Source organism: Homo sapiens, chromosome 1 (assembly GCF_000001405.40).
Source record: "Homo sapiens chromosome 1, GRCh38.p14 Primary Assembly".
Taxonomy (NCBI): Eukaryota; Metazoa; Chordata; class Mammalia; order Primates; family Hominidae; genus Homo; species Homo sapiens.
The window spans coordinates 201,575,186-201,602,914 of record NC_000001.11 but is presented as its reverse complement, the minus strand read 5'-3'; the positions used below and the strand labels follow the sequence as shown (position 1 = coordinate 201,602,914).

Below are 27,729 nucleotides of genomic sequence, written 5' to 3'. Positions count from 1 at the left end.
GAGGAATGCTGCTACCATTTCTGCTTGGCCTGAGCCAGGCTTGTCAGGATGGGGAGGCTGGGTGAGGGGGCTGAGGGGGACTGGTGAAAGTCAGCAGGAGTGTGAGTAGGAGCTGAGGGGTAGCTGGTTTCCAGCCCTGTCCCCCTGGAGCATGCCCCAGCCAAGAGCAGCTCTCAAGGGGTGCAGAAGGCCTGGCTCTGTGGCCCAAGGCTGAAGAACTCTGGATGAGCTCATGGTAAAAAAAAAACCAAAAAAAAAAAAAACCAAAAAAAAAAAACATAGCTTAAGTCTAGGTGCAGTGGCTCAAGCCTGTAAACCCAGCACTTTGGGAGGCTGAGATGGTCAGGAGTTTGAGGCCAGCCTGGCCAACACGGTGGAACCCTGTCTCTACTAAAAACACAAAACAAATTAGCCAGCCTGGTGGCACACACCTGTAATCTCAGCTACTCAGGAGGGTGAGGTATGAGAATTGTTGAACTTGGGAGGCAGAGGTTCCAGTGAGCCGAGACCGCGCCACTGTACTCCCGCCTGGGTGACAGAACGAGACTCCATCTCAAAAAAGAAAAAACAAAAACAAAAACAAAAAAACTTAGAGAAGAACCGAATTGCAACTTTAAGAACAAGGAGTTTTTTAGGCCCAGTGGGGTCCAATTCTTTTTCTCCTGCCCTGGGAAGAAACATAAAGAAAAGAGCTTGAAACTGCAGCAGCAAGAAAGACTTAGGAAAGACTTTAGGAGGTGGCCTTGACAGTGATTTGGTGGAGAAAGAAGTCCTCTGATGCTGGTGGCATGTTCTAATTGGATTGGTGTTTTTTTTCATTTTAGACCCTTAAAAGGTGGACTTTTGAAAAACCATTCTCTCTGGTGGGTCAGTGGAAGGGTGGGTATGGGAAATATACCTGCGGAACCCATCCTGAGGTGCTCCAGAGAGGGGGCAGCTGATAACCTGAGCTGGCTGGAACTCAGAGGTTTCCAAAGGGCCTGTGGATCCCCTCCTCGACACCACCACTGAGGCTGCCATGAGGGAGTAGAAAGGGATGCTGGGCTAGGGGACTCTCCTGCTTTATCTAGCTTCAAGTTCAACTCTTTTAAATATTGGCCCTTCTCTTAGTCTGTTCTAGCTGCTTTAACAAAATTTTGCAGACTGGGTGGCTTTTAACAATAGAAATATACTTCTCACAAAGTTCCACAGGGTGGAAGCCCAAATTCAAGGTGCCAGGAGATGCAGTGTCTGGTGAGCACCTGCTTTCTGGTTCATATATGGCACCTTCCTGCCCTGTCCTCACACGTTGGAAAGAGTGAAGAGTCTCTCTAAGGTCTCTTTTATAAGGGCCCTAATCCCATTCACAAAGAAGGCTCTGCCCTCATGACCAAATCACCCCTAAAGGTCCCACTGTCTAATACCATCACCCTGGAGGTTAGAATATTTTTTTTAGACAAGGTCTCACTCCCTCACCGAGGCTGGGGTACAGTGGTGTGATCACAGCTCACTGCAGCCTCAACCTCCCAGGCTCAAGCGATCCTCCCACCTTAGTCTCCCAAGTAACTGGGACTACAGGTGCATGCCACCAAGCCCAGCTAATTTTTTGTGTGTGTGATAGAGTCAGGATCTCACTGTGTTGCTCAAGCTGGTTTTGAACTCCTGGACTCAAGTGATCCTCCTGCCTCAGCCTCCCAAAGTGCTGGGATTACAGGCATGAGCCACTACACCCAGCCAGGATTCCAACATGATTGTTGAAGAGACACAAACATGCAGACAACAGCAGCTATCCATGTTAGAGCTGAGGTAAATTATGTGGTCCCCAGCTGAAATAAGTCTGAAGACTCCTCCAGCTGAGTAGCTCCCTGGAGCTAGATGAGACGGGTGACTGCTATGGCTGCCATAAGTCTGTCTCTGACCAGAAGCCAGAGCAGGAGACAACCTGGAGTATCCAAGAGCTTGGGAAGAGGAAAAGAGAACAGCAGGTTTACTGAACAGCTTTGGCAGAGACCCAGGGAAGGGCAAACCTCCCCAGGAGATGGCTCCTAGAACTAAGGAAATGAAACTTCCAGAGCCAGACTTCAGGTAGGGAATCTCTCAAGTGCTAGAGGATTGTGATCCCAGGACAAACTTGATCTTGAGGGCTTTTCGGCTCAGGAGAGTCCTTTGCTCTTTTACTAGGACTGAGGGATCAGGTACCTTAGTGTTGTAAGCCTCCCCAGGCTTGAAATTTCTGACTCATCTTGGTCCATTTTTTTTTTGTCACTCCCTCACCTATTTTTTTGAGTTTTTATTTTGAAGTAATTTTAGATTTACAGAAAAGTTGCAAAGATAGTACAGAGTTCCCATCTACGCTTCACCCAGTTTCCCCTAATTTTAGAATTTACATAACCACGGTACATTTGCTAAAACTAAGAAATCAACACTGGCACATTACTATTAACTAAAGTATAGACTGTATTTGGAGTCCACCAGTTCTTCCACTAATGTTCTTTTTCTGTTCCAGGATCCATGTTTGAAGAGACACAAACTTTTTGAAAACTCCAGCCTGTCTCCACCATGCTTCAGGGGAAAAGGAGAAGTCGTTGGGGTTATTGTCCACTTTTGGTTCAGAGCAGGATAGCACCACACAGGGCATGGGGCAGGAGTAAAAGGAAGAGAAAGTCACAGAGAAACAGAGAAAGCAAGTCAAGGGAGGAGGCTCACTCAGCAACCTGGAGAGACCTGGAGAGTCTCTCCTTTGGGGCTTTTCTCTGCTCCAGCCTTGGGGACCCCTCTGGTACAGAGGTCATTCACTGTACAAAGGCTTTCAGGGATGACTGGGGCCTACGTCCCAGGAGTTGGAAGAATGAGGTATCCCGAGTCACAGATGAGCCGCTTTGCTTAAGACCCTTCCTCTCTAGGGCAGATAACCGGGCCCAAGCTGTCTCCTCGGTTCAGAGCCCAGAGCTTGGCCTGTGACTTTAAAACTCAGCCCCTATTTTTGAGCACATAGCACTTCATAATAAATAGCAGAGAAAGTGAAGCTGAGACAAGATTGTATCTCAGCAGAATTGTTTCCAAATAAAGTGTTGTTTTTTCCCCCTCAAACTCTCCCTGGAGATGCCTATGGTGCTTAAAAACCACTAAATATCTCTCCTTGTTTATGACACAGACGCCATCCCTCCCTCCCCCTGTCCCTGAGCCTGGTCTCTTTTATAGCAATTGCGTGAGTGGCGCTGAAGAGAATCAGAGCAGGCGCTCGGAAGCCTGCCTGATGGTTCCCCCTCCTAGTAAGAGGGGCTCATGACAGACGCAAAATTCATGGAGAGAAGCTCCCATGACTTGAGCATCGAAGTGGGCCCTAAGTCCTGGATTTCGCTGGCTGCCTGCCACAGACTCTGAACTGCCAGAGAATCCATTCTTCTGTACCACCTGTGGGTCAGGACCTCATGAAACCCTTAACAAATTCATTTTGTGCTCTGTGCTTACAAGGCGCACAGGGAACTGGAATTGCATCTGGGAAAAAGGGATGGAAGGGGCCGTCCAAGGAGAGGTTAATGGACTAGGGTGGCTGATTCCAGAGTGAAGGTCAAAGGGAGGCTGGCTCATGGACCTTGCAGATATAATGCCTTTGTTCTCTGTTCCCACTGAAAACAGGCCCTGCAAAAGGAAGTCCTCCTCTAGCCATAAAGATTGGGGTTGGATACAAGAAAATGACATGAGGAGGAGCTGGGAACCTTGAATCACGTGATCCAAAGAGAGTGTGACCTCATTGTCCCAGAGGGTTCTCCTTGCAGGGTTTTGCCTCCTGGGGGGCCCAACCTGGCCAGCTAAGCCCAAGTGGGGAGGCTGTCAGGGTGGGTGACTGTCAGCAGGCAGAGATCTGGCCTTATGCCTCCCCATATGCTAAGTGGGGCCAACAAAAGTCCTGTCCCCACTAGAGGCTCCAGAAATGTTTTCTGAATGACAGGCAGCTCCTTCCTGATGCCAATGCCCCACCTGATAATGATCATCTGTCCAGAGGCAGGGGGAGGGATGTCATGGCCTCTGTATAGCCTATCAGCTCCAGGGTAAGCCACAGAAAACAATAACACCCCCCTCCCACTTACTTCTGTCCCCAAACTGAAGACTCGGGTTCCTCATGGCCGGGACCCTACCAGCTTGTAGTTTCACAGCCTTTTTAAAATGGCAACACGATGACTGCCCTCACCCACTGCTTTTACTGCATCCATTAGCTCAGCTCCTTCTAGTCGGGGGAAGGCAATTGACAGATGATGAACTTGAGGTTTGGAGAGTGTGAGAGATTGTCCAAGGTCACAGCTCCACCCCCTGCTCCTATTCCAGGCGAAGCACATCCAGTTGGTCCTGTGGTCCTGCCAGTTTTCTTGGCCCTTGCTCTCTGGTCTTACCACCCTAACTCAGGCAGTTCCGATTCCTCACCAGGACACACACTTTGTTCTCCCGGCCCCACGCCGCATGGCCCACTCACACCATTTCCACCCTGAGGCCAAAAAGACCTGATCGAATTGTGGTTCTGATAACGACCCTCCTACGGGGTAAAATCAAGTTTCTTGGGGGTCCTCTAAGATCCTCCAGCACTTGATTCCTCCCTATTTCCCAGACTCATCTCTCTGCCCTGCCTCATTCTTTATCTTCAAGTTTTACTGAATAGTTTATCATTTATCCACACACCACGAGGTTTCAAGCTTATCCTTAGCTAATTTCTATTCATCCTCCAAGCTCAGCTCAGACGTCATCCCTTCCAGGAAGGCCTCTCTGACCTTCTGTAAGTGGCCCTGAGCTGCCAGAGCACTGTGTACATAGCGTTGGCTGCTCAGTCACCAGGTATACCTGGCTCATCTCCAAAGCTGCCTTCTTGAAGAACACTTAGCTTTGGCCACCTGGCGCCTGGTATCATGCCTGGCACGTAGTAGACACTCAGTATATATTGGAGGCATTGACGACATCTTGACGCCCAGGCATCCTGCAGCTGAACTCCCTCCCCTTGCTCCCTGGCCAAGGTGGGTGGGGCCTACTTCCCCGACTCTGCTCTCTGGAATCTGGGGCAATGGAGTTGGGCAGGAGATGGCACACCTCACAGGGGAGGGGCCTGCCTCACCTCGTCACACTGGGCCAGGACATCACGGGCACAGCAGGAGGAAATGAGACACAGCTGCCAAGGAAACAGACCAGGAAATCTTCCCCGCGGAACAGGAAGCAGGTGGAGCATGGGGGCTGAGCTTCCGCAGGAGTGTGAGGGAGGAAACCCGGCTCCTGTGCCTCAGGTCCTCCCAGCTTGGCCCTCAGCCTGGTGGAGCAGGGGCTCTGCAGCCTGTGGGAAGGGGTCCTTATGGACTCCCAGCTTGGCCCTCAGCCCGGTGGAGCACGGGCTCTGCAGCCTGTGGGAAGGGATCTTTGCAGATCCTCTTCTCAGGCTTTAACCAGCGGGCCCCAGGGGCATGTTAGGAGATTATGTGATAGTCTGTAGTTTGCACAGTGAGCCTTGACCAGGAAGCCCCCAGGAAGACAGCTTAGCTGTCTTCAGAGTGAGGCCGGAGGGGAAGAAGGAGAGTGTAGGGGGGTATTTGGCCAAGGCCAATGTGTGTGAATCCTGAGAAATGCTGGGTGCCTTAGCTGGGTGAAGGCTGGGAAGCCAGATGGGACTGCAGAAGACCTAGAATGCTCCCTCTCCTCAACCCCCTTCACTGATTCTCCTCTTCGTCCTTAACTTCTCATCACAAGATCGCTTCCTCAGTGACCATTTCCCTAACCTCCTAGACTAGACCAATGTTCTCGTTGCTTCTCCCTTGTTAAAACCCACCCTGCCAGGCCAGGCACGGTGGCTCACGTCTGTAATCCCAGCACTTTGGGAGGCCGAGGCAGGAGGATCACTTGAGGTTAGGAGTTTGAGACCAGCCTGGCCAACATGATGAAACTCCATCTCTACTAAAAATACAAAAATTAGCTGGGTGTGGTGGTGGGCACCTGTGATCTTAGCTACTCAGGAGGCTGAGGCAGGAGAATTGTTTGAACCCAGGAGGCGGAGGTTGCAGTGAGCCGAGATTTCGCCATTGCACTCCAGCCTGGGCAACAAGAGCAAAACTCCATCTCAGAAACAAACAAACAAACAAACAAACAAAAAACAAACAAACTAAAAAAACAACCCGCCCTGCTTGTCCAACATCTTCCCATTGGGCTGGAAACTCTGTTGGGGCAGGGACCATATTTCGTTCACCACTCTATCTCCCACACCTAGTGCAGTCCTGTAAATATAGTAGATGTTCAATAAATATGGTGGAATAAGTGGCCACAGGAAGTAACTGGAGAATGATGGAAATGGGAATCTCATGACCAGGCACTAAGTCTGGGCCAAAGACAGAGCCAGAGAGTGACAGTGTCTGCCCTTTCCTGATCCATAAACAAACAAACAAACAAAAAGTCCTGAGGAGTTCTTTGAAAGTCCAGCCCATGAGCTGCTGTGGTTCTTTCACATGAGCCCAGCCAGTAACAGGACTGGCTTGACCAAGCTCCCTCTTCAGTGCATCCAAAACCCTGGGCTAACTTGAGCTAACCTCAGGGCTGGGGTTAGGGTACCCCAAAGAAGGGAAGAGAGTCCCTGTCATCAGGAAGCCCTTGGACTAATGAGAGATACACGAAGGTGCCCTTGGCAATTTCCCAGCCTGATGGGAGAGATGGGGTCTACAGGTGGACAGAGGCTCAAGAGAGAAATAATAACAGCAAACACTGATGGACACGTACCACATGCCAGGCATTGCTTCCAGCATTTTATGTGTATCAACTCATTTCATTTTCACAAAACCCCATTGGGTAGATAATGTTGTTGTTATCATTTTATGGTGAGAAAACTGAGATGCAGTGAGGTTAAGGCGCTTGCCTTAATCACACAATCAAGACGTGGGGTCGCTAAGATTTAAGCCCAGGCTGCTGGCTCCAGAGCTGATATTCTAAACCATGACTCCACAGCATCTCTGGTATGAGTGATGCACATAACTGAAGAGGACGCAGTCCCGAAGCGAAGTTAACCACAGTTAGTTAATGAGCATCCTAGAGGAGGAGAATGCTGCATCAGGAAGGACATGGCTTGGTGGAAGAGGCAGAAGAAGGGCACCTTGGTTGCAGGGGACACGTAAGTGATGACTGAGACAGCACAGGAAAATCTGCTTTCAACTCGGCCAGGAGGCAGAGAGATGGAATTTCTTCTCCCTTCCCTTGGCTGGAAGACAGTGGCCATGTTGGAGGCCAGCTTCTAAACCCAACTGAAATTCCCAGACCCAGCCCACTTGCTGTGACAGTGCACACTGCTGTGCCTGCCTGCCCCTACCCTGGCCCCACTATGCCCCCAGTCCCTGCCTCGGATTGATCAGAAACCTGGTATGGCCTGGAGAGGAGGGACCTGGTGAGCAGAGGTGAGAAACAGACTCGGCGCCCCTTGGCACTTGGGGGAGGGAGGAGGCTTCCAGGAAGCACTTGAAGAAAGGATAGCCACTGAGCCAGAGAATGGGAAAGAGAGAGCTGGCTGGAGCCTCTGAAGATCTGGCTTATTGAGAAAGCTTTAGTTGAAAGGAAGGGATTTGTTGAATGAAGGAAGAGAAGCAAAGCAGTCTTCAGTTCTAAGCATGAGTCAGGGTGAGGTGCCTACTACTACCCTTACACATCCTTGTGCCTAGCACACTGTCAGGGCCCACAGAAGAGCTGACAAAATTGAACCCAAATAAGCAGGCTTTGCAGCAGAGGCAGACACCTTAGCTCGGCCTGAGATTCCCTGGGTTATCAGTACTAAGGACTGGGGTCCCACTGGTGGTGGGAGTGCCTCAGGACCAGCCCAGACTCTCAGCCTTGGAGGTGTGCTTGGATACAGTCCTCAGGCGTGGCAGGTCCACACTAGAGACATGAAGCAATCCTCAGCTGCTTTCACATCCCTCCCCTCAACGGCCTCCTCGCTGTGCTAGGCACAAGAGCAAAGCACCTTGCCCTTGCCTAATGCTTAGCCCAGATGCCCTCCTGCATAGAGAAGGTTCAAATATTCCCTGCTCAGTGCTCCCTTTCTCAGGCCTGACCCTCTAAACTGGTCTCTGAATCCTGGAGCAGCGAGGGGGCTTCAGCAGGTTCCCGTGCTGGACAGCTCCCAGAGCCCCAGTTTCAGGGTGGAGCCTGCCCTTCCTGCTGTTCTGCCCCAGGGCTCTACACAGACAAGGCTGTCCAGAGAAAGGCCAGCTCCCCGTAAACCCCACAGCCCCTCACTCACTTCACCTCACGACCCATGTATCACAGAGATAACCTATTTCCGATTCTGCCTCAAGGGATAATGCTACTTTGCTGCCTGCCTGTCCTCCTCTCCCCATCCTTTTAGAGTAACCCAGCAAAGCCAGTCCTCAACTATGCTGATAGAGAGTTTATGGGGCCTGCATGGGGAGCTCTGCCACCAAAGACTAACCCGGCTTCGCCTCTGGCTACTCAAAGTCCACAGACCTCTGATTACAGGGCTCTCTTCAAGCTGGCTCCTAAGGCTCCCTCCCGCAGGTTCCTGCAGACCCCATGCAGCCTGGGAGCTCCACAAGCTTTCCATTCCAGCAACCACCTCCTCCCCTCCCTTTCTCCTGGGTCATGCTGAGCCCCAACCCTGCCTTGACCAAGAGGCTATGAAATGAACAAGTGAGGCCAAAATAAGGCCCTGCCCACATGATGCACTCCCTTAGCCCAGGTATAGGGGTTGCTTGGGCCCAAAATGGCCTTTTGATCTACCAATGGGCAAAGAAGTACCACTCCCGGGCAACCCGCTCGGGTCCCCTTCCACGCTGTGGAAGCTTTGTTCTTTCACTCTTCACAATAAACCTTGCTACCACTCAAAAAAAAAAAAAAAGTGCCACTCCCTTGCCTGCTGCCAGACTTCTTGGCTCTCAGCTCATGGCTGGTGCTATTCTCAGGATGGCTTGCTACATTCAGCCTCTTCCCACCTGCACTGATGGTGGTCCCACTACCCTGACCCCTCAGGGCCTGAAGGCAGAGTCTTAACACCTGCTCTTGATTCATCCCCATCCTGGTGAGCCTCCAATGGCCCCAGGCTCATCCATCCTCCCTGCAGCTGCAACTAGAGCAAAAGCAGAAGGGATAGTACTGAAAGTGGGGAGTGGCTCAGAGTTGGGAAGAAGCCTGTGCTGAGGCCAATAGGAGCCACAGTTTGATGGTGGGAGAGGAAAAAGAATATGTACTCAGACACATGCTAAACTGCCCCCTTCCCTTCCCCCATGACAATGTTGCAATCATTGCAACATACAAATGACTGCACATATCGTGCGGGCCCAGTACATGGAAGCTCAGAGGACTCCTGAGAAAAGACAGAACCAGAAGAGAATGCGCCAAAAGAGAAAGGCCACCAACATTTGGATAAACTCTTCCTTCTGGATTAGATTCTGCAATCCTCTGACTCATCTGTCGTCTAACTGCTGCCCCAGGGCCAGACTAATTGCAGGAAAGTTGAATGCAGCCAAAGAAAACAGAGGTAGATGTTAGAGAGTCCCAGGTTTCCAGGGCTTGGAGGGAGAGCAAATGTCTTAATTTATGGGCATGCGTTAGCCTTTCCCATGGGAGAGGAAGTTGTCTCTGGCCAGGAGTGGATTGAGGCCCGAGGACCCAAGTAGCCCCACTTGCTGACAGGCTTGTGGGGTTGATAGATGAATAGGGCCTGAAGCTGGAGACGATGGGGCTGGAAAAGGCATCAGTTACCTAAGGCTTTATGAAGCTAGTGGCGGCAGCCATGATTGAATACCCCTATTCCCACCCCACATCCCAACCTCACAGTTGCAGCCCCTACTCAGCCCCAGATATCAAAACTTCCACCTGCCAGATGGGGCAACACTGCTTGGTGTCTGGGGCAATCTAAGGCAGGGCTTGGCAACATCTTTGGTGATAGGAGCCTCATGCAGACTGAACAACGTCCACAGAGGCCCCCAGTAATCAGGAACAGGGAGTGAGATGTGACTGGGAGAGGACGTAGCCCCAAATTGAGAATGGTAGTATCTGAGAGTGATAGGAGAGGGCCACGAACCGCATCCCAATCCTCCCTGGACTCGCTCCTGGTCTGACGGGTAGGGCTCTGAGCTGGGAGGTAAAGACTGGGTCCCCTCCCAGTTGGCTATGAGGCCCTCCACCCCTTTCTGCAAGGTGCTATCATCTTGCCACCTGGACCCCAAGACCTGTGCTTTTCTCCCATTCCCTGCTGGGTACAATTGATTATCTCCTCCTTGCCACTCTCTATGTATCTCAGTCTTTAGAGCACAATCCAAAGACCACCTCCCCCCAGGAAGCCTTCTGTGCCAGGGCCCCCATTCTTCAATTAATGACCCCGATTTACTGACTGACACTCTCTCCACCTTACATGGAATAAGTGGGCAAAGTGCTGCCTACAGAGCACCAGCCTGGAAGTCGGGAAACCCTGGTTAGGGCCGCAGCACTGCCACCTTGGCTGTGTGACTCTAGAGAAATCACCTGCATGCTCTGAATCTGTTTCTTCAACAAAATGAGGGGTGGTGCTAGGAGCCTGTGGGTGATGGAGTTCTGCTTGTTCTGTCAGCTGTTGTCCCACCCCACCCTTTGCCAGCAGACTATGAGCTTTCCCAGGGCAGGGACTGTCTTTCCCTCTCTGCTTCAGGATTGTGTCTGCTGTTGCTGATTCCACAAAGACTTGCTGATGGCAAATGGGTGGATGTGTGTGCTAGCGGGAGGCAGTGAGAGGAGAGACAGGCAGCTTTTTAAAATGCTAATGGCCCATGCAGGTGTGGCTGGTGCTTCCCATGCAGGTGGGGCAGCTTCCCACACCACAGAAGCCCTGCTTCAGGAAGAGAGGAGAGTGGGGGCTTGAGAGGGGAGGGAGAGAAGACACCTCTGCAGACTGTCCTCGCATTGTCTAGCCTGCAGCCTGCACAGGCTGCCTCATCAAAGACATCGCTAAGCCCTTCCTTAGATTGTTCCAGACCCTGAGCAGGGTTGCTCTATCCAGGTGGCAATTTTGATATCTAAGGCTGAGTAGGGGCTGCAATCAAGAGCTCCGGGTTTGGTGGCCCTCTTCTGTCATTTCGGGTGCTGTCCTCCTCAGTTTGAGTCCATGTCCCTTCCTTTCCCTGTCTCACGATTCAGCTTTCTCACCTTCCCAGACCTCTTGGGGGGCACAGAAGAGGGACAATGCCGCTGAGAGGGAGAAGATGCTCTTGAGAGGGAGATGCAAGCAGCAGCAATTCACAGGCCAGAAGGAGATGTTGCAGCTGGGGTGGGGCCCAGGGTGGAGCGATGGGTCTCCTACCCAGAGAGCCAGCCAGCAGGCTGCAGAACTGCAGAGATTTGCATACATCTGCATACATTTACACACACTTATTTTCTGTCCCAGTGCCAACCTAGCTCCTCACACCCTCCTTCTATATGCCAGGCCTGCTCAGCCCCTGCAGCCCAGGCAGGACAATACCTGGCTGGGAGCACCTGGGGCTACTCAAAGGCAACTGAGCCCTGGGAGGGGCCCTGACTCGGGGAGGTTGTGTGAACAGCCCTTCCTCTCCTCACCTCTTGACAAAGAGGCCCTCTGAGCACAGATCTCCTATGGTGCCAACCTGTCACTGCTAAGGGGTGACAATGACTGCAGCCTCCCTCCCTTGCCTCGTCTCCCCCAGGTGACCCCATCGCACATTAAGGATGAGAAGAAAATCTGTGTGGAGCTGGAGAGACGCCTTAGGGATCTTTGACTCCAATACCGTTGTTTTACAGGAGAGGCAAAGGAAAGGGCTGAATACTCAGTTAATTCAGTCAATCTTTCCGTGTTGCCTCCTTTGGGACAGACACCACTCTAAAGGCCAGGAATTCAGCAGGGGACAGAATAGCCCCAAGTCATCCTCTAACAGCTTGACTGCATGTGTTGGAGAGAGGGGCCATGAAGAAAAAAGAAAGGTAGAAGGTTAGATGGTGCTAAGTATGCTGAACGATAAAATGAGAGAAGAGGCAAGGAGCACCAGGTTGGGGTGACATGGCCATTAGAAAGACATCTCACTGTCTGCGATCCTCAGTCATCGACAAGCTGGTTAACAGGACCAGAGGTACAGTCCGCCCTTCTAACACCTATCCCACCCCATTCCACACAGCCACTCCTTCCCATCTGCTTTTCTGGGCTGGAAAATGGGGCAAAAAGAGTTCTCAGACGGGCAAGAGGCCTGGCCGACTCGGCTAAGCCAGCCCACTGGCTCCTGGCCTAGATGCTCTGACTCCTGGCCCCGCGCGCAAGCCTCACCCACCCAAACAGCAGCTTCCCCTGCAGCCCTTCCTCAGCTGGGCCTGGGCACCTCGCAGCATGCAGTCATTAACACCTGTGTCCGAAAAAGAAAGCCAGGGGTTGCCAGGGACCAGGAAGCAGAGGATTGATGGAAACTTTCTGGAGAGAGGAAATGTTCTAAATCATAATTGTGATGGTAGTTAAACGACTGTATACATGTGTCAAAACTCATTGAATTTCATTTCATGTAAATTATACCTAGATAAAGCTGCCAAAAAAAGGAAAAAAGTAAGGCAGGAACTACCTAGCTGGGGAGATTTTGGAATGGAACTGAGAGGCGGGTGGGACCCTGGAAGGGGATAGGCTGAGATCAGAGGGCCCTGGTTACATTTCCTACCCCATCGCTTACTAGTGGCATGGCCTTGGGTGCTTACCATTCACCTGATTACCTCACTTTCTGCTTCTGTGAAATGGAGATACTGTCTTCCCTGGGCGGGCATGGTGGCTCATGCCTGTAATCCCAGTACTTTGGGAGGCCGAGGCAGATGGACCACTTGAGGTCAGGAGTTTGAGAACAGCCTGGCCAATAGGGTGAAATCCCATCTCCACTAAAAATACAAAAATTGGCTGGGTATGATGGTGCGCACCTGTAATCCCAGCCACTCTGGAGGCTGAGGCAGGAGAATTGCTTGAACCTGGGAGCCGAAGGTTGCAGTGAGCTGAGATCGTGCCACTGCACTCCAACCAGGGTGACAAAGCGAGAATCCATCTCAAAAACAAAAGAAAGAAAAAAGAAAAATGTCTTCCCCATGGGATGGTTGTGAGAATCAAGCTACATAACATAACTTTGGGGTCATCCCATAATATGTGCTCAGACAATAACAAATAACAGGCCGGGCACGGTGGCTCACGCCTGTAATCCCAGCTCTTCGGGAGGCCAAGGCAGGCAGATCACATGAGCCCAGGAGTTCGAGATAAGCCTGATCAACATGGCAAAACTCTGTCTCTACTAAAAATACAAGAAATAACCAGGAGTGGTGGTGTGCGCCTGTGGTCCCAGCTACACAGGAGGCTGAGGTGGGAGGATCAATCAAGTTCAGGAGGCAGAGGCTGCAGTGAGCCAAGATCATGCCACTTCACTTCAGCCTAGGAGACTGAGTAAGGCCTCTTCTCAAAAAAACGAAAAACAAAACAAAAAAACACTTTATTCAACATTTACTGAGCAGGCATTAGCTTAAGTGCTTTACACATATTAACTTAATTTAACATTTCCCTACACGGTACTAAATATTACTATCCCCATTTTATGGATGAGGAAATTGAGGCAAAGATGACAATTTGCTTCTCCTTTCCCTATCTGTAACATGGGAATTTTCAACCGTTCTCTATTTTTAACTCTGTTTCTGCTGCATGTTAATGGGTGCTCTGGGGTAAAAAGGCTCCATATTCAAATAAGTTAGAGAAGTGTGGGGCTGAATAGATTTCTTTCTAAAAAATGGAGATATGATTCAAATATAATAAAATCCAAACTTTTGGGCCGGGTGCAGTGGCTCATGCCTGTAATCCCAGCACTTTGGGAGGCCAAGGTGGGTGGATCACCTGAGGTCAGGAGTTTGAGACCAGCCTGACCGATATGATGAAACACTGTCTTTACTAAAAATACAAAAATGAGCTGGGCGTGGTGGTGTGTGCCTGTAGTCCCAGCTACTCAGGAGGCTGAGACAAGAGAATTGCTTGAACCCAGGAGGCAGAGGTTGCAGTGAACCAAGATCATGCCACTGCACTCCAGCCTGGGTGATAGAGCGAGACTCCATTTCAAAAAAGAAAAAAAAAATCCAATCTTTTAAATTGTACAATTGATTTGTTTTTAGTATACTCACTAAGTATGCAACCATCACTACTAATCTCAAAACATTTTCACCATCAACAAAAGAAACCCATAACTAATAGTTGTCACTCCCTATTTTTCCTGTCCCCAGCCCTACCAACCCCTAATTTACTTTCTGTCCCTGTGGATTAGCCAAAACTCATACCTGGGTGTGTGGCTCACACCTGTAATCCCAGCACTTTGGGAGGCTGAGGTGGGAGGATCACTTGAGGCTAGGAGTTCAGACCAGCCCGGGCAACATAGCAAGACTCTGTCTCTACAAAAAAAAAAAAAAAATTAATCAGCTGGGTGTGGTGGCACCTACCTGTAGTCCTAGCTACTCAGGAAGCTGAGGTGGGAGGATCGCTTGAGCCCAGGAGTTTGAGGCTGCAGTGAGCTATGATTGTGTCACTGCACTCCAGCCTGGGCAGCAGAGCAAGACCCTATCTCTTAAAAACAAACAAACAAAAACTCATATGAATAAAATCATACAATACGTGGGCTTTTGTGTATGGCTTTTTTCACTTAGCAAGATGTTTTCAAGATTTATCCATGTTGGAGCATGTGTCAGCACCTCATTCCTTTTTACAGCCGAATAAGATTCCACTGTATGATATATCACATTTTTGTTCATCCATTTATCACTCATTAGCTTATTTCCACTTTTTTGGCTATTATGAATTTTGCTGCTATGAACATTTGTGTACATATGTCTTCAACTCTCTTGAGTATATCTCTTGAGTACATACCTAGAAGTGGAATTGCTGGCTCAAGTGTATCTCATCTCCATGTTTAACTTTTTGAGAAATTGCCAAACTGTTTTCCAAAGCTGCTGCGCCATTTTACATTTCCACTAACAATCTCTGAGAGTTCCAATTTCCCCACATCCTTGTCAACACTTGTTACTGCCTGTCTTTTTTATTTTAGCCATCCTAGTTGTGGGGAAGTGGTATCTCATGTTCCAATTTGCATTTTTCCTGATGATTATTGATGTTGAGCATATTTTCATGTGCATATTTTCCATTTGTGTATTGTCTTTGGATAAATATCTATTCAAATATTTTGCCTACTTTTAATTTGAGTTTATTGTTGAATTTTAAGCATTCTTTTTTGTTCATTCGTTTGTTTGTTTGAGGTAGGGTCTCCCTGTGTTGCCCAGGCTGGAGTGCAATGGTGAGATCTTGGCTCACTGCAACCTGTGCCTCCTGGGCTCAAGCTATCCTCCCACATCAACCTCCCAAGTAGCCAGGACTACAGGCACACCACCATGCCTGGCTAATTTTTGCATCTTTTGTAAAGATGAGGTTTTGCCGTGTTTCCCAGGATAGTCTCAACCTCCTGGACTCAAACAACCCACCCCCCTTGGCCTCTTAAAGTGTTGGAATTACAGACATGAGCCACCATGTCCAGCAATCATTCTTCATGTATTCTAGATACTAGACCCTTGTCAGATATGTGATTTACAAATATGTTTTCTCATTATTTGAGTTGAGTTATTCACTTTCTTGACAGTATCATTTGAAAAATAAAAGGTTTCTGTTTTTTTTTTTTAATGTGGTAAACTACACATAACATAAAGCTTATCATCTTTGTTTTTCTTTCTTTGAGACAGGGTTTTGCTCTGTTGCCCAGGCAGGAGTGCAGTGGCACAACCGTGGCTCACTGCAGCCTCAATTTCCCATGCTCAAGCCTTCTTCCCACCTCAGCTTCCTGTGTAGCTGGGACTACAGGTGCGCACCACCACGCCTGGCTAATTTTTGTATTTTTTGTAGAGATGAGGGGGCGGGTCTTGCTATATTGCCAGAGTTGGTCTCAGATTCCTGGGCTCAAGTGAGCCTTGGCCTCCCAAAGTGCTGGGGTTACAGGCGTGAGCTACTGTGCCCAGCCTAAAACTTACCATCTTAACTGTTTTAGATGCACAGTTCAGAGGTGCTATGAACTGAAATGTATATCTCACACCCTCCAAATTTGTGTTTTGAAGGTCTAACCCACATAACCTATAGTGTGGTTATATTTGGAGATAGGGTCTTAAGAGGTAATTAAGGTTAAATGAGATCATATCAGTGGGGCCCTAATTCAATAGGGTGAAAAGAGAAAAAGATACCAAAGATCTCTCTCTCTCCCCCTCTCCCTCTCTCCTTCTCTCCCTGCTCTCTGTCTTCCCTTCCTCTCCCACCCCCATGTGTGCCTGCCCACTGAGAAAAGGCTGTGTGAGGACCCAGGGAGAAGGCAGCCACCTGTGAGCCAGGAAGACAGACCTCACCAGGCACCAACCTGAGCCCCTTGATTTTGGACTTCCAGACTCCAGAACTGTGTGAAAATAAATTTCTGTTGTTTAAGCCACCTAGTCTGTGGCACTTTGTTATGGCAGCCCAAGCAGGCTAATACAGGTGGTATTGATTAAGTATAGTCAAAGTTTTGTGCAACTGTCACTACCATCTAGCTTCAGAACTCTTATCATGTTGCAAAACTTAAACTGTACCCATTAAAAAATAACTCTCCATTTCTCCCTCCCCCGGCCCTGGCAATCCCCGTTTTACTTTTTGTCTCTAGTAATCTGACTACCCTAGGTAACCCAGAGAAGTAAATCACAGACTGTCTCTTTCTGTGGCTGGTTTATTTCACTTAGCATTTCATCAAGGTTCACCCATGTTGTAGCATATATGAGAATTTCCTTCCTCTGTAAGGCTGAATAATATTTCATTGCATACCACATTTTGTTTATCTATTCATCTGTCAACAGATACATGGGTTGCTTCTACCTTTGGCTATGGTGAATAATGTTGCCATGAACATGAGTGTACAAATATCTCTTTGAGATTCTGCTTGCAAATTCTTTTGGGTGTCTACTGAGACGTGGAATTGCTGAATCATATGGCAATTCTATTTTTAATATTTTGAAGAACTGTCATACTGCTTTCTATAGCTGTTGCACCAATTTACATTCCTATCAATATTGCACACAGATTCTGTTCCAATTTCTCCATATCATCGCCAATGCTTGTTACTTTCTGTGCTTTTGATAGCAGCCATCCTATTGGGTGTGAGGTAGTATCTCCTTTTGGTTTTGATTTGCATTTCTTAATAACTAGTGATGTTAAGCATCTTTTCATATGCTTGTGGTCCATTTATATATATTCTTTGAAGAAATGTCTATTCAAGTCATTTTCCCATTTAAAAAATCAGTTTTTTTTGTCATTGTTAAATTGTAGAAGTTTTTTATATTTTCCACATACTAGACCCTTATCAGATATAAGATTTGCAAATTTTTTTTCCTAATCTGTGGGTTGTCTTTTCACTTTCTCAATATTTTCCTTTGAGGCACAAATGTTTTTAATTTTGTTGAAGTCCGATTTGTCTATTTGTGTGTGTGTGTGTGTCTGTGAATGAAGAGCTTCTCAGAGCCTTTCCTATGTTCATGTAGATCAAGATTCCAAAAGACAGATGATCTTACTGCATTTCCACAACTTAGCTGACCACAGAAACCTAGTTCTGTGCCTCCCCCATCATCGTATTCTCACAGAATAATTTGCAAGTCACAGAACACACTCTGAAATGTTCTGCTTTAAGGGTTTTCAGTACTCCATGAAAAACCCTTCAGCAGAAGATGAGTCATCACACGTTCAGAACCCTAAAACCAGAATAGATCCAGCCCAGTGCCTGACTTCAGGGATGAGGGCCCAATGACCTGCCCAAAGCTTGGGAGACTGGGGAGAAGATCAGGCCCCTGCGAAAACTACCCGAATGGGGAACTCAAGACAGGAAGCATTTGTCTTATTAGTTGTGCATGGGGTTGGGGCTGGGTGGGAGGACCTTGGTCAGTTGCTTCCAGAGTGAGGATTTCAGGCCCATCCTTCACTCATGTGAGCCTTTGGTTTGGAAAGGCAGGGGCCCTTCTCCTCTCCCGTGGGATGCCAGGACTTGGGCTGCCTGCCAGTTGGTCAAGAGCTTCCTTGATTCCCTGCTTTGCTGTCTGCTCCGGACTCTCCCCAAACCCCTTTCTCTGGATGACTCAGGGGCAGATGAGTGAACTGAGTGAAAGAGCCAGAATCCAGGCCTTGGTGGAGCATCTGGACTGGCCCAGCCTGTCAGCAGGGCTGATGGGCTAAGCTCTGGGCGGTTTCTTATGGATTCAGAGGAGATTCTAGAAACAGACTGAGGAGGGCTTTCATAAGGCTGCCGTGGGCTCTGCTGGACACAGGCACATCACAAGCTGGAACCAGCTGCTGAGATAGCAGCTGTATTCCATCTCCAGGATTTGGTTTACCAAGATGAAAACAAGATCCAATGCCTGACAATTATACAACTTTTTCTTTGAGAGTCTGCACACACATCTCAGGCAATCTCAGTCACATGGGAGACCAGAGGGGCAAAAAAATTATTTCTCATTCACTCCTTCCTAACACATTATGACTCTGGAGAATCTAAGTGGTTAGAATCCAGATTCTTTGTTTTTATAGCTGCATATAGAGTAGGTTACATTTCCCCCTCTATATGCAGCTCTGTCTTGTAAGGAACCATTAGATGGGCAGTCCCTAAAAACATGGTATCATGAAAAAGAGCAATGGTTTTACAGTCTCATAAATGTGGGTTTGAATCTAGAGTCCTCCAGGTACTGGATGATTGACCTTGGACCACTTCTTTCACATCTCTGAACTTGATATTGTTCTTACACTTAAAGTGGAAATAACAACACATGTGAAAGATCTGGCACATATCAGTGGTTCCATAAATGCTAGTGTCCTTCCCAAATTGCATTGTACAGAAAAATCATCACAGGTGATGGAATTTCTCAATTGGAAAGGATCTTGGAGATGATCCAGTTGGATTCTTTAATTTTTCAGAGGACGAAGTTGGAGTACAGAGAGAGTAAGTGACTTGCTGAAGGACACGCTGCAAAGTGAGATTGCTACATTCTACTCAATCCAAGTTTCCCTGGGAAGCTGAAGGTCCTGACTGGCTCCTCTCCCCCAGGCACCAGCACTGCTCTTCTTAAGCTATTTACATGCTTTATCTTGAGGCTTGAGTTTTGACCAGTGGAAGCACTATTGGCCATGAGAATAGAAGACCGGAGGTTTACACAGTTACTCCAGGGAGCTGGCAACTTCAACAGCTCCTTATTTATTTCCATGGCTTCCTTGGGAAGAAAGGAGAAAGAGGATTTCAAAGGCTCAAAAAAGGTCAATTGTTTGCCCAAGGACACCCAGCAAGCTTGTAACAGAACCATTCCAGGGCCCCAAGTGCCACCCTCTGTCCCAGAGCCATTCCTACCAGCTTCAGCTGCCTCCTTCACCCACTCAGAGATTCCTATCTCCAGCAGGGAAGGAGTTAATGCCAACCTCTGTTGGCCTCTGCAGGTGCTGCTCTTGAGAAAGAGCCCCTTAGCAGAGTCTACAGATAATGGGAGCGGGAGAGATAACGAGCTTTTTGTCTTAATTGCAGATGGGAAAAAGGGTTGGCTTGTTGGAGGGCTTGGACAATTAACACAGCTGGGGTACAGGGCCTGATGAGCCCTGGATGGGGCCTTGCCCCTGCTGTCTCCTCTCCGACAAGCACAGCGATCAGGGCTATTATACCAACACGGGCGAGCCTGACGCAGCGTGAGCCCAGCCGAGGCACACAAAGAAATCAGCCAGGCAGGGAGGAGGCTAAGAAATCACCAAATGGGCCAAGCCCCAGAGGGTGTAGAGCCGCCATGGTTGGCCCCACTCAGACACCTGGACAGTCAGAAGATGGGCTGAGCTGCACAATGCCAGGCCTTGGGTCCAGCCCTCAGGGCTATGGCAGCGGATGCTGAGGGATCCCGTATACACAGTAGCCTCCTGTAGCCTCTCCAAAGACTAGGGGAACAGGGAGCAGCAAGGATGACAGTTAAGATCAGAGAGTGGGGTGTGATTGGATCTCAGAAGGAGAGCAGTCTGCTTGGGATCCTGTCTAGCTTGTTGAAGGGTGTAATAGACCTGGCTCCTAGCCAGCAGCTTTGCAATCAGCAGGCAGGGGCTGTTGACCAGGCTGGGACTGGACCTTAGCACTTTTCTTTCACTAGGTCCCCAGTGCTCTCCCACTCTCCCATTCCCGAGGACAGGCTTCCTCACGTAAGCCCACCTCTCTGAGATACCAGACACTGCAGAATCATGCTCCCTTGTTGGATTTCCTCACCCCTTGGCCTCTGGGCCTGTCCTGGACCTTTCCTTCCCATCCATTCCTCACCATTCCCCAGCTCTTCTCTGTGTGGGGGAGCTGGCTGGCTGATTCCTGTAGGCTGACTGTCCCAGGGTCCTGAGTCAGCTGGTTTCTGGCTGGCTTCTGCCCACAGGAGGCACTGGAGGAAAGGAGAAGCCAGGGGATTCCTCTCTCTTCCCCTCTACCTCAGGAGGTGTCATAGCAATATCCAAGTCCCTTTGGAGGCCCAGCCCTTCCCATACTGGTCCTGTGTGCTTCCAGATTCCCAGGATCTTGGTTGCCTCTGCCTGGGAGTGGCAGCTGCTTCCTCCCCTGTTTGACTCGTCAGCTCTTCTCTCTCTCATGTAGCCAGTTCTCAGCACTAAATTTCCTCTCTTGCAAATATGAAAAGTGGTTTCTGGTAAGAATGACTGATACAAACTCATGACTGGCCTTTCCTTGCCCTTCTCAGTCTCATTTGTGGTGTCCTGCATGGCTCCTCTTTTGCTGACCACTTGTGAAACATGGCAGCTCTGTTCCTGGTCTGTTTGTTTGTTTGAGACGGAGTCTCACTCTGTCACCCAGTCTGGAGTGCAGTGGCGCGATCTCAGCTCACTGCAAGCTCCGCCTCCCAGGTTCACGCCATTCTCCTGCCTCAGCCTCTCGAGTAGCTGGGACTACAGGCGCCCGCCACCATCCCCAGCTAATTTTTTGTATTTTTAGTAGAGACGGGGTTTCACCGTGTTAGCCAGGATGGTGTTTCTGGTCATTTTTAAAAAAATTCTTAGAACCTTATCAGGGAGCTTTATTATTTTTTTCTTTTTTGATACAGAGCCTGGCTATATCGTCCAGGCTCGAGTGTAGTGGTGCAATCTCAGCTCACTGCAACCTCTGCCTCCGGAGTTCAAGTGATTCTTGTGCCTCAGCCTCCAGAGTAGCTGGGATAACAGGCGCCCACCACGACACCCGGCTAATTTTTGTATTTTTAGTACAGACAGGGTTTCGCCATGTTGACCAGGCTGGTCTGGAACTCCTGACCTCAGGTGATCCGCTCACCTCAGCCTCCCAAAGTGCTGGGATTATAGGCATGAGCCACCGCGCCCGGCCGGAGCTCTGTTTTTAACTACTGATTCTATGTAATGACTCTCAAATCTGCCTCTCTCTGGCCTTAACTTCTCCACTGAGACACTTGTCCACCTGACATCCTTACTGGGATGCTCACAGACTCCGCACAGTCAACACAGCTAAACTCCGTTTCTTTCTTTCCCTCTCAAAATCTGATGCTCATTTTCTCAGATGGGGCTACTAAGCCAAGGCGTTAAGCTCCTCCTTTCTCCCACATCCATTCCAACCTGTGAATCTTGTCTCCTAAATCTCTCTCAAGATTATCCCTGCAACCCATCTCCACCACCACTGCCTGTGTTCAACCCTCACTCGAACCGTAACAAAAACCTGCTCGCTGGTCTCTCCACTCCCTGCCCTGTCCATCCCAGGATGACTGCTCAGAAAGCCTTTAAGGGTAAGCATGGCAAACAACTCCTTCTATGATCCAGTCTCTACCCCATTCCCTACCTCTGCTAACTTCTCCTGTTTTGTCTTCCTTTCCCTATGCCATGCACCGGCCCCCACGAACAACCTGCAGTGAGTACTCTGCCCCTCCTGTTGTCTGATGCCTCTATGCCTTTGTAGCTGCTGTGTTGCCTGGTGGGATGCCCTTTACCATCGTGTCCATCCAGAAATCCATTTATCTTTCAAAGTTTAGCTCAAGCATAACCTACCTCCTCTAAGAAACCATTCTTCCCCCAACCCCATCCCAAGTAGGGCGATGACTCCCACCTCCTTTAAGCCTCCAGAATATCTCATATTCTTTTTTTTTTCTTTTTTAAGACAGTCTTGCTCTGTCACCTAGGCTGGAGTGCAGTGGTGGGATCTCGGCTCACTGCAATCTCTGCTTCCTGGGTTCAAGCAATCTCCTGCCTCAGCATCCTGAATAGCTAGGATTACAGGCGTGCGCCACCACGCCCAGCTATTTTTTGTATTTTTAGCAGAGACGGGGTTTCACCATGTTGGCCAGGCTGGTCTCGAACTCCTGACGTCAAGTGATCCACCCGCCTCAGCCTCCCAAAGTGGTGGGATTACAGGCATGAGCCATCACTCCTGGCTGAAAACCTCATGTTCTAAATACTTGGATGGTATTGATCTATTTGTTTGCTAGGCTTTGAACTCTTTGAGAACCAAAAAAAAATTTTATTTGTCTTTATGGGCTGGCACAGAACAGGTGTTCAAGAAAAATTCTGGAAGCTGGAGTACTGTGATTGTTAATTTTAGCTGTCAGCTTGATTGGATTAACGGATACCCAGGTAGCTAGTAAACATTATTTCTGGGTATGTCTGTGATGGTGTTTCCAGAAGAGATTGGCATTTGAGTCAGTGGACTGAGTAAGGAAGATCTGTCTTCACCCAATGTGGGCAGCCACCATCTAATCTGCTAAGGGTCCAGGCTGAACAAAAAGGCAGAACAAAAAAGTGAATTTGCTCTCTCTCTCCTGGAGCTGGGACAGTTTTCTCCTCTTGCCCTTGGACATCAAGAACTCCAGGTTCTCTGGCTTTTGGATTCTGGGATTTGCGCCAGAGACCACCCTTCCCCCCAGTTTCTCAGGCCTTTGGCCTTGGGCTGAGAACTACATCATTGGCTTGCCTGGGTCTGAGGCCTTTAGACTTGGACTGAGCCATGCTACTGGCTTCCCTGGTTCTTCAGCCTACAGACAGCCTATCATGGGACTTCTCAGCCTCCAAAATCACATGAGCCAATTCCCATAGTAAATCCCCTCTCGTGTATCTATTTTTATATCTTATCGGTCTGTTTCTCTGAAGAACCCTAATACAAGTACTTTTCCTTATTCCTCCCAATAGTTGTACTTACAACTAAAAACCCTGGACATTATATATAAAGCAAACATAAGAAGACTCTGAAAGGTGGAGATAAAAAGGTAGACTGAGGCCAAGCACAGTGGCTCATGTCTGTAATCCCAGCGTTTTGAGAGGCCGAGGTGGGTGGATCACTTGACACCAGGAGCTCAAGACCAGCCTGGCCAACATGGTGAAACTCCATCTCTACTAAAAATACAAAAATTATCCAGGCGTGGTGGTGCATGCCTGTAATCCCAGCTACTCGGGAGGCTGAGGCATGAGAATTGCTTGAACCCAGGAGGCAGAGGTTGCAGTGAGCCATGATTGTGCCACTGCACTCCAGCTTGGGTGATAGAGTAAGACTCTGTCTCAAAATAAAAAAAGGGTGGATGAAGTAGGGACCTTGGGACTCAAGGAACAACATGGCGATGAGGTCTCTGAGTTCATTTGTTTGTTTTTTTCTTCATAAATTCCAGACTTGGAGCTGAAGAAGTCATCAACCCAGAAATGCCAATGGGTGCAAACAAAAGAAGCCTCAACAAAAGCCTGCTTTCTCCAGCCAAAGGCCAGGAAAGTGGCAGCCCAGAAAGACAGAACATTTTTTTTTTTTTGAGACTGAGTTTTGCTCTTGCCGCTCAGGCTAGAGTGCAACGGTGTGATCTTGGCTCACTGCAACCTCCGCCTCCCAGGTTCGAGCGATTCTGCTGCCTCAGCCTCCCGAGTAGCTGGGATTACAGGTGTGTGCCATCATGCTTGGCTAATTTTTATATTATTAGTAGAGATGGGGTTTCACCATGTTGGCCAGGCTGGTCTCGAGCTCCTGACCTCAGGTGATCCACTCACCTCGGCCTCCCAAAGTGCTGGGATTAGAAGTGTGAGCCACCATGCCCGGACCAGAAAACTTTTAGATGATAGTTGTTCAATGATAAAGTTTGAATGATGATAGTTGTTCAAACTTTTAGATGATAGATAGTTCACTCCAGCCAAACGCCATAGGAAAAATTGTGCTCCCACTTTCATCCAGGGCAGCGAAGGGCAAGTGGGGAGCCTAGAGTTCACCTTCACCAGGCCATGATGAAGTGCCCAACAACCCCACTAGGGTGGTGTCAGAGAAGGCTGAGTAGCAAGCCCAAAGTTCCATCCCCTCCTCCTGGTAATGAGGCCATTCATTATCAGTGGAGCCCATATGCGGAGCCTGGACTTCCACCCCCACCTAGCAGTAATAAGGCACCCTTCCTGCTTCCCACAGTGTGGTATAAGAGGAGGCCTAGTGGAGAGACAGAACTTTCATCATTACCCAGAGATAAGCCACCCTCAGCTCAGTTCCCCTGGAAACCAAGCAGGGAGCTGGAACTCCTACCCCTAGCCCAGGGGTAATGAAGAACAAAGAACAGAAGCTATAAAGAAGAACCAAATGGAAAATTTTAAACTGAAAAATACAGTAACTGAAGTGTTGATCTCAGTGGATGGGATCAACAGTAGAATTAAGGAGAACAATCAGAGAACTGGAAGATAGAACAATAGAAATTAACCAATATGAACAACAGAAAGAAAATAGACCAAAACAAAAAGCAGAGCAGATTCTTAGGGGCCTGTGGGACTATAACAAAAGATCTAACTTTCGTGTTATTGAAGTTCTGGTAAGAGAAAAGAAAGAGGATGGTGCTGAAAAAGTACTCCAAGAAAAAATAGTTGAAAACTTTGCAAAGTTGGCAAGAGACATAAACCCACAGATTCAAGAATCTGAGCAAATGCCAAACAAGATAGACCTAAAGAAATCACAAATTAAGCATCTGCGAGTTAAAGACAAAGAAACAATCTTGAAAGCAGGAAGAGAAACAGGAAACCTTAATCTACAGGTGGAAAGGGTTCAAATGACAGTAGATTTCTCATTGGAAACCACGGAGGACAGAAGGAAGTGGCACAATATTTTTCAAGTGCTGGGGGGAAAATAAAAAGAACTGTCAACTCATAATCCTATACCCAGTAAAAATATTCTTCAGGAATAAAGGGGAAATCAAGAACATTCTCAGATGAAGAGAAACTAAGAGACTTTGTTGCCAGAAGGACTACTCTAAAAGAATAGCTAAAGGAAGTTCTCCAAACAGAAAGGAACAGAATAGAGAATCCAGAAACAGACCCACACAAATATGCCCAACTGATTTTTGACAAAGGTGCAAAAGTAATTTAATAAAGGAAAAACAGCTTTTCCAACAAATGGTGCTGGAGTGATTGGACATCCATAGCCAAAAAAAAAAAAAAAAAAAAAAAATCTAAGTCTCAGGCCTTATGCCAAAGTTAACCCAAATGGATTGTGTGTTTAAATGCGAAACATAAAAATATAAAACTTTGAGGAAAAAATATTTTAAAAATCTTTGGCAAAGAGTTCTTAGACTTGATAACAAAAGCACAATCCATAAAAGGAAAAATTGATAAATTAGACTTCCTCAAAATTAAAATGTTTCATTCTGTAAAAGACCCTGTTACAATGTTACAAAAGACATACAGAGTAGGAGAAAATATTTGTCAACCACATATCCAGCAAAGAACCAGCACTTATAATACAGAAAGAGCAATCAAAACTCAACAGTCAGGCCAGGCATAGTGGTTCACTCCTGTAATCCCAGCACTTGGGAGGCTAAGATGGGAGGATTGCTTGAGGCCAGGAGGTTGAGGTTGTGAGCTGTGATGGCACCACTGCACTCCAGCCTAGATGACAGAGCAAAACTCTGTCTCAAAACAAAACAAAACAAAACTCACCAAAAACCAAACAATTCAATTAGGAAATAGGCAAAAGACATGAAGAGATATAGCACCAAAGAGATGTCTAAATAAGCACGTGAAAAGAAATTCAAAATCATTAGCAATTAGAGAAATGCAAATTAAAACCATGAGGAGATATTACTACATACATATTAGAATGGCTACAATTTTAAAGCAATGACAACACCAAATGTTGGTGAGATGCAGAGAAACTGGATCATTCATACATTGCTGGTAGAAATGTAAAATGGTACACCCACTTTGGAAAGTGATTTGGCAGTTTCTTAAAAAAATTAACTTGCAACTAACACGTGACCCAACAACTGTACATCTCAGAGAAATGAAGAGTTATGTTCACACAAAAACCTCTACACGAATGAATATATTAGCTTTATTATTTTTTTTTTTGGAGAGGGTCTCGCTGTGTTGCCCAGACTGGTCTTGAACTCCTGGGCTCAAGGGATCCTCCTCCATCAGCCTCCTGATTAGTTGAGATTACAGGCACATGCCACCATCCCCAGCTTATCAGCTTATTCTTAATAGCCCCAAACTGGAGACAACCCATGTCTTTCAATAATGAATGATTAAACAAACTATGGTACATCCATATCATAGAATATTACTCAGCAACAGAAACAACTGAACTATTGATACACACACCTGGATGAATCTCCACAGAATTATGCTAAGTGAAAAATAACTGTTCCCAAAAGGAATATGCTCTATGATTCCATTCATATAACATTCTTGAAATGGCAAAAGTATAGAAATGGCAAACATATTAGTAGTTGCCAGGAGTCAAAGAAAGGGTGGAGGCAGGAGAGAAGTGGGCGTGCCTTTAAAAGGGCGACATGAGGGATCCCTGTGGTGACAGGACTGTTCTGTGTCTTTACAGCAGCCGGGCCAATATCCTGGTAGTGATATTGTACTACAGTTTTGCAAGATGTTAACACTGGGGGAAGCTGGGTAAAGGGTATCCAGGATCCCTTTGTGGTGTTTCTTACAATTGCATGCAAATCTACAATGTCTCAGAATTAAAAGTTTAATAAAAGTCAACAATTGTGGAAAGCATGCACGAATAAATAATTGAGTAAGTGAAAGAACACAGGAAATCAGGGAAGAAATACCCCATGCCTGGTGATCAAGGACCAAGATGCAAATAAATGCTCTAGCCTACAGTCTCTCTCTCTTCATAATTTGTCCCTTCCCTCCTTCCTTCATAATAAACTCGAGAAACACTTTATCAAAGAAACTGTCCTTAATTGGCCTCAGATGTTGTTACGTCACCACTCCGTGCTCCTCCAGGACTCATGTTCATTTTTGACATTAGGTATTTGTCCTTGTTTGGATTTGGATTTTCCTTCCAATTTAAGGGGCCCCTGAACATTTCCTCCAACAGACTGGGGGCAGCCTAAGGGCAAACACCTTCATCATCCCATTGGACACGCCTCCCTGATGTAGATACGCAGTTCTGAATACTGCAACAGAATTCAATACAAGATCTGCCAACTCCAGTGAATTTAGGTGTTCCCAAAGATAGATGTCAATAAATACTGGCTGAGTTGAACTGGACATGCTATAAATTCCCTCATGCACAGGACTAGATCCTATAGCTCAGCAGTTCATAGGCCAGTAGACTAAGAGACAAAGGATCAAGGAGAAAGAAGGGCAAGAAGGGTAGAAAGATAGTAAGGACCAGGTTGGGGGGTCCACCAGGAACCCTGAAGAAGACACATCTCTCTCTCTCTAGGTCTCTGTCTCTGGTCCTCTCCCCAGCTGCTTCCCAAACTAATTCC

The 27,729-nt window shown here is 47.8% G+C and overlaps 1 protein-coding gene and 1 long non-coding RNA gene across 4 annotated transcripts in view, besides 1 other annotated feature; one reads left to right on the top strand and one right to left on the bottom strand.

The window, feature by feature from the left end:
• The window catches only part of LOC124904482 (uncharacterized), a 48,139-nt gene extending 45,070 nt beyond the window's left edge, over positions 1–3,069 (top strand). The window contains exon 2 of the long non-coding RNA XR_007066789.1: positions 2,486–3,069. This is a non-coding gene — a long non-coding RNA (uncharacterized LOC124904482). The remainder of the gene's footprint in view (positions 1–2,485) is intronic.
• Positions 1–27,729, bottom strand: part of NAV1 (neuron navigator 1) — a 287,843-nt gene that overhangs the window by 224,055 nt on the left and 36,059 nt on the right. For 2 of the 3 annotated variants that reach the window (NM_001389617.1, NM_001389615.1), the window contains exon 2: positions 14,266–14,376. The exons of the other annotated variant lie outside the window; for it this stretch is intronic. The gene's annotated coding sequence lies outside the window, so the exon portion shown is untranslated. The remainder of the gene's footprint in view (positions 1–14,265; positions 14,377–27,729) is intronic. 3 annotated transcript variants of the gene reach the window in all.
• Positions 10,834–11,397: an enhancer, noted in NCBI's record as "H3K4me1 hESC enhancer chr1:201560646-201561209 (GRCh37/hg19 assembly coordinates)". NCBI's record gives its function as "activates a minimal SCP1, AML or CMV promoter by ChIP-STARR-seq in naive H9 embryonic stem cells {active_cell/tissue: H9 hESC(naive)}" and the evidence as "EXISTENCE:reporter gene assay evidence [ECO:0000049][PMID:30033119]".